This window comes from Homo sapiens, chromosome 5, assembly GCF_000001405.40.
Source record: "Homo sapiens chromosome 5, GRCh38.p14 Primary Assembly".
NCBI classification, from domain to species: domain Eukaryota; kingdom Metazoa; phylum Chordata; class Mammalia; order Primates; family Hominidae; genus Homo; species Homo sapiens.
Window position 1 is genome coordinate 160562800 of NC_000005.10, and position 13361 is coordinate 160576160.

Sequence of the window (13361 nt, forward strand, 5' to 3'; positions counted from 1 at the left end):
CTTCTAATTCTTGCAGCCCTTTTGGTTTGTGTCATACTTCCATGTTGGGTCAAATAGCCGAATATGTTCCTGATACTCTATACGTTCAGTGGGGGTTGGCAGCATTGGATGCTCAACAAATATGTGAGCTTCTCAAAGACAGATTGAGCTCCTCACAGCACCTCGCAAATTGTCAGGCATCTAGCAGGGGCTTAACAGAAATTTATTAGATAGATAAATGAATGAATGAATAAATGAATGAATGCAAAAGAGGATGGGTGGATGAGAAAGTCCTCAGAACTAGTGATAATGATATAAAAGAAGAATAATGTGAACTTAGGTTGGCAGGCAACTATGGAAAACCATGTTTATTTTTAATAAAGGATGACATTTCCAATCAGTAAAATATCATAAAAGTATAAAAATGTACTAAGTACAATCATTAGCATTATGTTATAGGGGAATAGTGGTTATAACTTTTCCCTGTAAGATGGCACATTGGATGGTCACAGTTGGCTTGATTTACAGAGGGGCAAGAGTAGGTGACCAGTTGTACCAGTTGCTCCAGTTTCCTAGGATTTGGGACTCTGTAAAAATGAGAAAGTCCCAGGCAAACTGGGACGGTTGGTCCTACAAGAAAAAGAGCAGCATCAGAGTGTTGGCTATAGTTTGGAACTTAGGAACAGGATCAGACATTATTTTTTAACTTCTCCACCTATTTTCCCTTTAGCTGTGAAATAAAAATCCCTTTTGTTATTACTGAGGGTGTTACAGCTTTCAGAGGCTTTTTTACCACTGGGTTTCATGTAATTTTGACTTAATACCTATGTCAAGCCTGGGAAGAAAGGCAGTTCTAATCAACTTGCAGGTGTGGCATTCTGCTTCAAGCCACCTGCATCCTAGAGAGCAAGGATTCAAACTCAGATCTCCTGAGGCCACTGTTCTGTTCTTTCTGGCTTTTAGTAGTAGCCAGAAATTGGGGGAAAAATTGAGGTACCTGAGATCCAAGTTTTGACTCAATCCCCTCACTGGAAACAATTCACATCATCATCACTTTGCCAGGTATGTGTACCTGCCCCTTATTGGGCAATCCTCATGCAGGATTCCTCCAAATACCCACCAGCTGGCTAGTGCTGGCATCATTATATGGCAGAGGCAGTGAAACAGTGTATTAGCTCCAGGACAGTGCTGCAAATGGCCCTTCCAGTCCAGGTTTGCCAGGAAGATGGTCAGAGGGCCAGCTCCCTGTGTCATTTGCCAACTTGATTGAATGTTTTCTGGCATCTTTGCTGAGGAGGTTCTCAAGTGATAGGTCAACTTATGGCTGGTGGCATGACTCGTAGGCTCAAAGACTCACCACACTTATTGCATCTATTTCTGTACTTTTTGCCTACTATATAGGTACTAGCTTAAGGTGGCTCAGTAACCCTTTCTGGCTTATTTTACAAGACTAGGGTTAGGCTATACTTGCCCACAGCAGACCTGGCTTCTTTGGACAGCCTATTAAAATTCTACTGTTCATTCCTTTAACACTGTTTTGAGCTTTTTTTATATAGTTGACATTTATAAACTCTAGGGATAGGAAGTCTATATAATCCTTCTTTTCCCTGTGAAGTGACACTTGCTCTGACTCTAACTGATGCAGGCCAGTGTCTTCCAGAGGCTGGAAGGGGGTTTCAGCCTATCCCCATTCTGGAATAGGCTGAATGGGGTTTCAGATTAGTTCTACCCTTGAAGATGTCATTGTTTAAGCTCAGGGTTGCCCTATCATATGGGCCTATTCTGGGTGCAGATGTGCTTATATCTCCTGATTTACAGGGTTTTTTGCTTTTGTTCTAAGAGCTGAATGAGGATGGGCAATTTTATTTAAAAATAGATACAATAAATAGCTTTAAAAAAAGAGTGCCACCTATGTCCTCTTGTCAGATTCCCCAGCTGGTGGGACATATGGTCTGTCAGCCAAAACAGGGGTCTCTGGTGCACCCGTTCCCTTTTGCATGTCTATTCTTCATGCCTCTTACACTAGCTGTGACCCTAAAACACTCAGAAGAGTCTGTGACACTGAGTTCAAATCCACTTTTCTTTCTGGCTTTTAGTAGTAGCTTTTTAGATGTGGCTTTTCTTTGGCTTACAGGCAAAAAGCAGAACCAACTCGCTGTGCCTGGAAGGGATGTTAACCCCGATTCAGCCATTACTGCAATACACTTGAGATGAAGCCCTTATGTGCACAAGTCTCTTCTGAAACTTTAACTCTGGGCACTGAGGGGTAAATAAACCCAGAAACTTCCATATCCTGAGATATTGCCTGGGTTGATACACTTCTTGAATCTTGGAAACTTACGGCACTGGGTTGTAGGCTACGCTTATCTAGAGGGTCAGAAGAATGGCTTTGGTCTAAACCGATTTGAGAACTCGATTCAACAAAAACAGCCTCCTTCTCCAAACTGTTTGCAAGATGTGCTGCCTGAGAGCAGCAGAAAACTAGAGGCCGACTGGGTTTCCCGTCTTTGTGTCAGACCCCTTGGGGCCAGCACTTCCTCCATGGAAGTCAAGGTTGTTGAAGAAAAGAATAAGACTGGCACATTGTTTCCTCTATGAAGAAGAAGGGGTCAAGGGTTATGTGGACCAGTGACTAGGTGGCCTCTGTTGAGTTTGTACAGATTTCTGCAGCTCCTCATATGGTCAGTGAACTCTGGGATCGGCGATGGCTGCTCCTCTTTGAGCACCGGCACATATCAGTCTGTCCTCTTGAGTAGGCCATTATCCTGTTAGGTCCCAGCAGGTGCTCCCCGGATGAGAGTTGAGCTGAGGAGTCCCCTGAGCATGAGTCATCCCTCATGCACTCCGTGCCACATCTCTGTTCGTGGAGTACTGACTCTTCCACATGCTTCCTCTTGGGAGGGTTAGAGCTCTTTGGGGTGCTGGCACTGAAGTCCTGTCCTGTGATAGATGACACTGGGTGGTGAGTTGGTCGAGCCACTTCGGGGACAGGGGCAGGCCTCTGTCTGCTTCTCCAACTCTGGATTTCCAGGTTTCTTTTGTCTGGGGGGAGTTTGTCAATTTTCTGAGCTTTTGAGATTAGAGACTTCCCACAAGTTCCTTGCAGAGACAGGAAAAAGTATCTGGTGGGAAACAACAGAATAAAGATATTTCTGATTTCCACTGACTTCATAAACTTCAGCATTAAAAGATAGTCTTTAGAATCCAACTCCCTGCCTGGAGCAAGATCCTCTTTACTGCTATTAAATCCATGTCTGGGCACCTCTAGTCTTGGGTAGCTCAACAACAAAAATAACAACAAAACATAACAGCTAACATTTATTATACACCAGGACTATTCTAAGTGCTTTATGTATTATTAACTCATTTTCTTTTCCCAACAATCTCATGTGGTTATTACTTTTGTTTGCCTCTGAGTACACTTGAGGAAACTGAGGGACTGAGAGATTTAATGATTTGTCCACAGCCACACAGTGGTTGAGCTATGGTCAGAACCACACTCTCTGAATCCAAAGACTTGTCTCTTTTTTGCCATGCCCAAAGCAGTCCATTCTATTTCTGGGCTACTCCAATTTAGGCAAATTTAATTGCTCTGTCATGTTAAGCCTTTGTGAAACTTGATGATTTTAAAGTACTTTTAGAATCCACATTCTTTTCTTGAATCTGTGGGCCTTGCTGTACTTGACAGTGTCATCATATTACTATGATTTGCCAGATAAAGAAATAGGGGCCCCAAGAGGTGAGGTGAGATTCCTAAGGTCTCCTGAGACGTTAACGGATCTCCCTGTTGACTGACTCAAGGATTTTATCCCCCTGCCAAGCTGCATGCAGTCTGTAGTAGACTCTGGAATTGGAAGTCTTTATCTGTGTCTAGAATCTTCTCTCTGTTCAAAGTGTAGGCAAGGAAAGGGGTGAGAATGTGAATATAACTATGCGGTGTATGGAGAAAATATACACAAGCCGTGGCAGTGGGCAACTCACATCCACTTTCCAGATGTCTGTTGCCTTATCTGAAAAGTAAAAAAGTAATCTATCTGACCTGGAGGACATCTAAGGTCATTCCCAAAGATAGTCTTTAAATATTTTTTATGTTTGAAGTCTTATAAGCAGGAAGGCTTCTATTCTTCCACTATGTCTAAAAGCTGCAAGGTGACCCCTCTACCCCTGGCCAACCCCTGCCAGTGGGCAAGAGATTTCTGAAAATTACAGTGGATCTCATGGAACCAGATAAACTTTTTTTGTTCTCTCACATCTCACCCAGTGAGGTAGTAGGGGCCATGTATGTGTCCCAGGAAATATTTGACTTTTTGCTTCAAAACTGGAATTTCCTTAGTATAAACCTTTTCCTCAAGCCACTGCCTTCCTCCTCTATTCATTTATTCAACAAATGCTTTTCAATTTCCCACAATGGGCCAGGTCCCCAAGGGATTAAGCCATGAATAGGAAAGACAAGGTCCTTGCTGTCACGTAACATGTGAATATAGTTATAAATGGAGAAGGCAATGAGAGTGTCGAACATCAAACACCTGATCACTGAAATTAAATATTTCTTCCTCAAGGAAGGAAGTGCTGACAGTTCCACCGGCCATGTATTTCTCAAATCCACGCCCTTAAATGTTTCTTCCTTGAGGAAATGCCCCCTCCATTTATAACTATAGTCACATGTTAAATGACAGCAAAAATCTTGTCTCTTGTGTTCATGGCTTAATCCTTTGGGGGCCTGGCCCATTGTGGGGATTTGAAAAGTATTTGTTGAATAAATGAATGGAGGAGGAAGGTAGTGGCTTGGGGGAAAGGTTTACACACAGTAACCTTTTAAAGCTGAAAACTGCAGGATGCATAGGAGGTAGCCATGCCAAAGGGATGAGAATCAAAACCTAGGCATGATGGCTGAAGCTTGGGGAGTGATAAGAGTAGGGGAATATGTCCTAGGAGGAGTTGGCCCAAGCAGAGCAGGGAGGAATTGGGGGCCAGGTTTATGGTTTTTGTGCTTTATTGCAGAGGTCTTGGGAAGCCCTTGGAGGGTTATAAATAGGTGACATCACACTTTGAGCCAATGATAATGGACTAGAGTAAGATCCAATAGGAGACTACCGAAATAATTTGGGGTGAAAGGGTAATAGTCTATTGGTAGTAGTGGCTGTAGAAATGGAAATAGTAGATGGGTTTGAGAAATACGTAGTGGATAGAACTGTCAGTACTTGGTGAAAGGCTAGATATGGGCATGAGTTAGCAGGTGATGTCAAGATTAATTCCCTGGGGCCTGCCTTTGTCCCAAGTGGGTAGCATTTGCTGAAAGAAACTCTAGAGATACCCAGATTTCTGGGGTGGTGCCGGTGATAGAGGGTGGAATGATGAATTCAATTAGAAATGTCTCCCAGTTTCCTCAGACTTAATATGCCCAGTAGAGGTGATGAATAGGTAGCTAGAAAGATGTGTCTGGAATTCATAAGAGAGGTCTGGGGGGAATTTATGGTGAAGAGTCGTCTGCTAAAAATTTTTAAATCCATGATAGTGATTGCTTTTTATGGAGAGAACATAAAGTTAGAAGAGAACCTAGGGGCAAGAGAACCTAGGGACAAGAGAAACTAGGTTAAGCAAACCACCAAACTTATTAAAGGAAGTAAGGCCTGTTGATAGGTCTCTAATTTTGGGATAAAAAGTTTTGTATAATTGTCTATTTGCTATCGCTTAAAATGATAAAATGGCTTGATTGCGATGTTCAGCGTGGTGAGATGGAGAGAGGCTAAGTCTTTCCTATGGGAACATCATCATCAAGTTCACTGCTCTGACTAGAGAGAGTGGGCTGCGGAATAGAACACTGGCCTTTGAGTTGGGAGAACCTAGCTCTGACTATGATCTGTGGTAGGCCTGTGAACACATTCTGGTCCCTCTTGGTACTTCAGCTGTCCCATGAGTGGGGTACTAGAACCATAGCTCTGCCCAACACTTAGCTCATGGCAAAAACAAAATGAGAGGCTAGATGGGAGAGCCTATGTCAAGAGTGAGCTCCAAGGCAAGGCAAGGCAAGGCATTTATAGTTGCTGTTGCTATTTTTCTGGAAAAGGCACATTTACTGCAGAGGGTTTAACCTGGAAATATCTGACATAGTCCCTGGGCATGGATTATTTGTCTAATGCAGGTCTTGTATGGAAGGTGTGTGTTTAAACAAATTTGAATAGTATTTAAACACTGGCAATTTCATGCACAATTTGAATTTCTGGGAAAATGCTGAAGCTCTGGAATGTTTGACTTGATCTTTCCTTGTGGCCATGATAGAAGCTGAGAAGCTCTTTCTTCCAATATCTGTACTCCATCTGGCTTGCTGAACTTGCTGGCCTGTCCCTGTAGGCATTTGAGTATAAGATTCCTGGACTAATACAATAAAGGACCATAGAGCTTCTCAAAATAATTCCTTACTACACAAAAAATTTGTAAGGCAGGAGGGTAGGAATTGATACTCCCATTTTATAGATGTCACAACTGAGGTCACACTGATTTGGTGACTTTGCTACTTTGTGGCTAACCTGGGACCACAGTCCATGTTATTTGCCTCCTTTGTCATTCATTGTTCTTTCTGTCCCATCTCTCTGTTTCTGAAACATTAGCCTCAAGGATGCCAGCAGAAGTCAAACTCCTGACTCTTGGGTTATAAAAATGGCTTATTAAAGGGAGATTGGTAATTTTAGGAAAGAAACACAGCCCTAGTGCTCAAACCTTGGGAGAAGAGCAACAACTGGTGTGAGAAAGCAGACGAGGTAGAAAGTGGGGTTTGAGAGCTGGCCTTCCATCACCCAATAGGGATTGGTGGGGCTGTTGCAGATGACGCAGGTGGCATTGTACAGGAGGGATACCAGAAAGTACATCAGGAAGCTGCCGAGGAGCACGACTCCGTGGAAAATGGTCTGTGGAGGGAAATAAGCAAACACTGTTGAAGGTATAGCTGAGATTAGGAGGCAGGGTGATCAAACTACTTGATTAACTTTGTTTCAAACTATTTTTGAAATGCAAAACACACAAAATTCAAAAAAGTGTGCAGCTTAATCTATCATTATAAAGCAAACACCAGATTGCTGCCATGTAGAATTGAACACACATACCCCAGAAGACCCTATTCTGTCTCACCCCTGCTTTTGGTGATAATTTCTATGCTATCCTTTGTAGGTTTACCACCTATCTAGGTTTTCCAACATAGCCTGTTTTTAAATGGATAAATAGAATCATGTTTCGTATGACTTTTTGTTTTTTTTCCCTCAATATTATGTTTGTGTGATGAGCCCATTTTTTCCACATGGCAGTAGTTTATTCATTTTCAAAGCAGCGCAGTATTCTGTTTTTTGATCGTATTTTGTCCTGCCTGTTTTGTGCTTTTCTTTTCCCATCCTTGTCTTTTATTTTTATTTAATTTTAAAAATTGATACTAGATGTATATATTTTCAGGGTACATGTAATAATTTGGTATATTCATATATAATTAGGGTAATCATGACATCCATGACTTTAAATATTTTCTTTATTCTAGGAATATTCAAATGATTCTCTTCTAGCTATTTTGAAATACACAATCGGCTAATGTTAACTATAGTCATTCTATTGTTCTTTTAAACATATTGACTATTTTGTATAATTTTGGGACTATTCTTTTAGTGATTACTCAATAAGTCTAAACAAGCAAATATACTGCAGTCTAAACAAGCAAATGTACTGCAGTCTAAACAAGCAAACTTACTGCAGTCTAAAGCTTACAACTAGTTTTCCATCCTCCTGAATTACACACGAGATTTAGAGCACTTTAACTCTCTTTACATCCCTCCTGGCTAATATGTTTTGCTGCTGTTTTAATTCTGTCATCTTTTAAAATCACTCAACTCACTGGCATTATTGTTTGTATGGTCAGTATTCACTAAGATCTACTCACATGTTTATCACTTCTCACGCCTCCATTCCTTGGACCCTCCACCCGAGGTATCTTTTTAAGTGCATCCTGTAAAATGTCCTTTTTGGGAGTCTGACAGTGATATGCTCTCTGATGCTTTATTTCATTGTTCTTGAAATTTGTCTTTTGATGAATATGGAATTCTTGTTAGGCAGCTATTTTCCTTCAATGTGTTTAATATGGCATTCCACTGTCTTCTGGCTTCCATTATTGCTATTAAGAAGTTATTAATCTCCACTTGTTCTTCCTTAGAAGGAAATCTTTATCTCTTAAAGCCTGCTTGCTTTTATAACTTTTTTTTGTCTTTTTGATCTATAGTTTTCTATGACAGAGTAAGTATGAATTTCTTTTTATTTATCTTGCTTGGGTTTTGCTGAGCTGGAATCTTTCATCACTTCTGCAAAATTCTCATCACAGTCTTTTCAAAGATTGCCTATATTTCATTCCCTCTCTCATTTCTTTCTGAGACTCTGATTAAATGTTTGTCAGACCACTTAAAATATCATTCTATTTTCTTAATATTGCTTCTATAATTTTCATTACTTTTCCTGTTTTATAGTCCAAATACTTCTTTTGACCAATTCAATAATTCTTCCCTTAGCTATATCTAATTTTCTATTAAGCCAACCATTGAAACTTATAGTTATTGTAGTCTTTATTTCTAAATTTTCTATTGATTTTTCAAATCTGCTAGGTTGCTTTATATAGTTTACCAATCCCTGCAGATATTTTAAAGCTTATTCTTTGTTTCTTTAGACATAGTAAACATAGATTTTCCTTTAATTTATATTTGATAATTCCAGTTTCTAAAATATTTGTTTCTGATATTTGGTTTTTCACTCATGGACTCATTCTTTTATGAGGTTCATTATTTTTGAATATGCTTATTGTGCTAAAAGTTAGACACAACTTGAGGCTTAGAATAAAGGTAACTTTCTCTAGAAAAGAATTGTGTACATCTGCATATGCATGTGTGTGTGTGTTTGTATTTTGCAATCGTTGGGCACTGCTAATCTTGAGGTACTTTAAGCTCAATTCATAGGTGAAAGTTTGGCTCACCCAGGTAACATGAACCTGGGCTACATATGTACCTGAGGCCAGTCTGTGGTCACAATTTCCCCAGGGCAAATTGGTGCTGATTTCTTTCTGCTCTCTTCAGCACAGAGGAAAAAAATCTTTGCAGTCCCAGCTGGGGAGGGAGTATAATTGGGTGTACTTCTGAGTATATCCTTACCTTGAAGTCACAGCCTTTGGGATCCTATTTTAATGTTGTCTCTTAGACTCCTAACTTAGGAGCCTAGGTATTGATTTCTGAAACTTTTGCTCAATCAAGTCTGCCAAAACAAAAGTTCATTTTTGGGATAGTTGCCAATACCCTTAAGAAAAGCATTGGCTCAATTTGTTTCTCTAGCATCTCCTTTTCCCTGAGGTTTGGTCATTGCTTTCTTGTCAGCTTGCTCATGCTTTTAAAGAGTTTTTTTTTCCCCTTTTTTAAAGTTATCCAGTATTTTTTGTTGTTCTCAGTGAGGGATGTGATCTAAATAACCTAGCGCCGTTTCCTGAAGAAGAAAGCAATTAGCTAACTTTTTCAATTGCTTTAATGGGGACTGAAACTGTCAAAGCTCTTAAAATTCTTGTTATATTTCTATCCAGGGAAGAAATAGATTCTCTTCCTGCTTCAAGTACTTTCAAAAGGGAAGCATTATTTTTCATAATTATTTTAGTAGCTGACTCCTTTCCCCAAATCACCAGAAATCACCAGTAACTATTGAGGGTACCTAGTCTGAAGATAGATTAGGTGGCTTAATAGTGCTAAAAGAGTACTTTTTCTCTTTTAAAGCAGATGGCTTCAGTGCTTTGAGAAAGAGGACTGAGTGTTCAATCAGAATACAGAATCTTTAGTCTCACCACTCATTTAATATAATGTTGAGTTCTGATTAAAAATCTTTCAGGACATTAAATCTTTTGAATGGTTTTAAAAAATCTAATGATTAAGAGAGTCATAGAGAGGAGAATTCCTTTTGGAAAATATCTTGGACTAGTTTTTAAAAGTGTAATTAAATTGCTGTGAAATATTTCATGCTTATAGACAATAAACCTCATACACCCAACATTCAGCTTCATCGGTTTTAACCTTATATTTACTTCAGATTTTATGGAAAGATTAAGTCTTACAGATACAATTAAAGCAAGTGTATATCTCTTGCAAATGACCTCTTTCATCTTGAACACAAATTCAGTGTGTATCAGTCTGACACGTTTCATACACGTGTACATGTTTACCCATGTTTATGGATGCTTTTTTGCTTTATCATATATGTATCCTTCTAGTATGGGCTGAATGTTTATGTCCTCCTACTCCCAAGTTAGTAATGTTTAAACCCTAATCTCCAATGTGATAGCATTTTGATGTGGGGCCTTTTGAAGGTGATTAGGGGGAGCCCCCATGAATGTGATTAGTGCCCTTATAAGAAAAGACATGAGAGATTTGATCCTTCTCTCTTTCATTCAGCCATGTGAGTGATAATATAGCTGGAAGGCAGCTGTCCAGGAAGGAAGAGGGCCTGAACCAGATGCTGAATCAGCTGCTGCACTGATCTTGGGCTTCTAGCCTCCAGAACCATGAGAAATGAATCTGTTATTTAAGCCACCCAGTCTATGGTATTTGTTATGACAGCCTGAGAAGACGCAGACAATTCTGCAGCTTTTTTCGCTTGCTTTTATACTTTAAAGAAGAGGGGTCCCCAGCTCCTGGGCCATGGACTAGTACCAGTCCATAGCCCATTAGGAACTGGGCTGCACAGCAGGAGATGAGTGGCTGGTGAGTGAGCATTACTGCCTGAGCTCCAACTCCTGTCAGATTAGTGGTGACATTAGATTCTCATAGGAGCACGAGAACTCTATTGTGAACTGTGGATGTGAGGGATCTAGGTTGCATGCTCCTTATGAGACTCAAATGCCTGATGATCTGAGGTGGAACAGTTTCATTCCAAACCACCTCCACCCCTCAATTCTATGGAAAAATTGTCTTCTGTGGTCCCTGGTGCCAAAAAGGTTGGGGACCACTGCTTTAAAATTTTATCTATGTTGAAAGACATAGCTCTAGTAGGTTCATTTTAACTATTACATGGTATGAACAGGCCGCAACTTATTTTTCTGATCGATGAATATTTAGGCCCCCTTTTGGCTATTAAGAACGATGTAACATTCCTGTACATGTCTCCACATATATGTGTGCAAGAGTGTTTCTGAGGTATGTACTTAGAATTGTGCCAAAAAAATGAGTACTTTACATTCCTCTAGCTGTTTTCAAATAACTCTTCAGAGTTTATGATCTACTAACAGGATAGGGAAGTTCCTTGGTTATGCTTTAACATCTTTAACACACTCCCAAAATGACTTGTCCCTATTTTATTTAGAATTTTCTACATCTGGCTGGGTGCGGTGGCTCACGCCTGTAATCCCAGCACTTTGGGAGGCCATGGTGGGTGGATCACTTGAGGTCAGGAGGAGTTCAAGACAAGCCTGGGAAACATGATGAAACCTTGTCTCTACTACAAATACAAAATATTAGCTGGGCTTGGTGGTGTGTGTGTATAATCCCAGCTGCTTGGGAGGGTGAGGCAGGAGAATCACTTGAACCCGGAGGCGGAGGTTGCAGTGAGCCCAGATTGCGCCACTGCACTGAAGCCTGGGTGACAAGAGTGAGATTCTATCTCAAAAAAAATTTTTTTTCTACATCTAATGTTAGTGAGATTGGTCTGTAATTTTCTTTCCTTGAACTGCCCATGCCCATTTTGATATCAGTTATTATAGCCATGAAAAACAAATTGCTTATTGCTGTGGTTTAAATGTATGTGCCCCCTCTAAACTCATATGTTGGAACCTAATACCCACTGTGATAGTATTAAGAGGAGGGGCCTTTTGGAAGTGATTAAGTCATGAAAGATCTTCCTTCATGAATGAATTAGATGCCCTTATAAAAGAGGATGATGGAAGCATCCTAGTGCTTTTTTTGCCCTTTCACCATGTGAGGACACAGTGTTTGTTTCATCTCTTTTTGCCTTGTGAGGACACAGCATTCATCTTTTTTTTTTTTTTGTGCCCTTCCCAAAGATGCAGCAAGAGGACACCATTTGAAGCAGGGAGCAGTGCTCACCAGACTCTGAACCTGCTGGTGCTTTGGTCTTAGACTTATCAGCCCCTAGAGCTATGAGAAATATATTTCTATTCTTTGTAAATTACCCAGTCTCAGGTGTTCTGTTGCAATAGCATAAACTGACTAAGACACTTATCTTTTTCTATTTTTTTATTCCATGAAAAAATTGATATAATAGAGATTAACTGTTCTTTACAAGTTTGATCAAACTTTAAATCCTTTGGGTCTAATGTTTTTGGGGATAGGATTTGGCTTATTCAGGCTTGCTGAGTGATCTTGACTGGATTTTGGTAAATTTTACCAAACTTAACATTGCTAAAATTAATTTAACATAGCTAAAATTTTTTTACATTCATATTTTGTTAATTGATCCAATAATGTCCTAATGGTGTGTTTTTTTTCCCTTCAGCACAGAATCCAGTTTAGGGTCAAATATTACATTTAGTTTTCATGTCTCCTTAGTCTCCTTTAATCTGGGCTATTTCGTAGCCTTTGGTTTTTTATGGCAGTGACATTTTTGAAAAATACTGGAATACTCTCACCCTACCTACCACCTTTTTGTTTAAAGAAAGAATAATGCTCATTTTGTATTTGTCTGATGTTTCCTTATGAGCATATTCAGATTATACATTCTCTACCTGGCCATGTGATCCTGGCAATTCAGATACCCTCTTTGAGCCTCAATTTCCATATCTGTAATTAAAAAAAGCACTGGATTAAATGATGATTAAAATCCCCTCCTAGGATTCTATCTAGGATTCATTTTTCATATAACAACAACCCACTAAATTCTTTTTTTCTTCTAAAAAGAAAACAATGGATTAAACAAATAAAAAAAAACCCCTAAATAGCCACAGTCAATTTGAGATTCATTTATTTAACAGATAGTTATTGTTCACACATTGGCCAGGCTCTTTTGACTAGATGGTACAAAAAACCAACTATGACTGAATTGAGCTATAATAAGCCTAGAGGTAGGATTAGCTTCAGGCAAAGCTGGATGCAGGCACTCAGCAATGTCCCATGGAATCTGCACCTCTCCCTTTCTTCATCCTGCTTTCCTCTCTGTTGGTCTCATTCTCCAGTAGTCCTTTCTACATTACGGCAAGAAATTGCCAGTTGCTCCAGGCTTCCAAACAACTGGCTCAGCAACCACAGCGGAAAGACTGCTCCTGCTTTCCAACAAAAATCCTAAGGCAGGATCTCATTGGCCAGGACTGGGTCATATGTACATGCCTGAACCAATCACTGTGAATGGGGTCGGGTAGAATTGTTTGGATGGGGTTC

The 13361-nt window shown here is 39.9% G+C and overlaps 1 protein-coding gene across 11 annotated transcripts in view; it reads right to left on the reverse strand.

Moving 5' to 3' along the window:
* Nucleotides 1-320: 320 nt before the first annotated feature.
* The window catches only part of ATP10B (ATPase phospholipid transporting 10B (putative)), a 366241-nt gene continuing 353200 nt past the window's right edge, over nucleotides 321-13361 (reverse strand). For all 11 annotated transcript variants that reach the window (XM_017009252.2, XM_047416995.1, XM_011534468.3 and 8 more), the window contains 2 exons: nucleotides 6697-6884; nucleotides 321-3101 (listed from right to left, as the gene is read on the reverse strand). In XM_017009252.2, the coding sequence (XP_016864741.1) occupies nucleotides 2654-3101; nucleotides 6697-6884 (636 nt within the window). In that variant the 3' untranslated portion in view covers nucleotides 321-2653. The remainder of the gene's footprint in view (nucleotides 3102-6696; nucleotides 6885-13361) is intronic.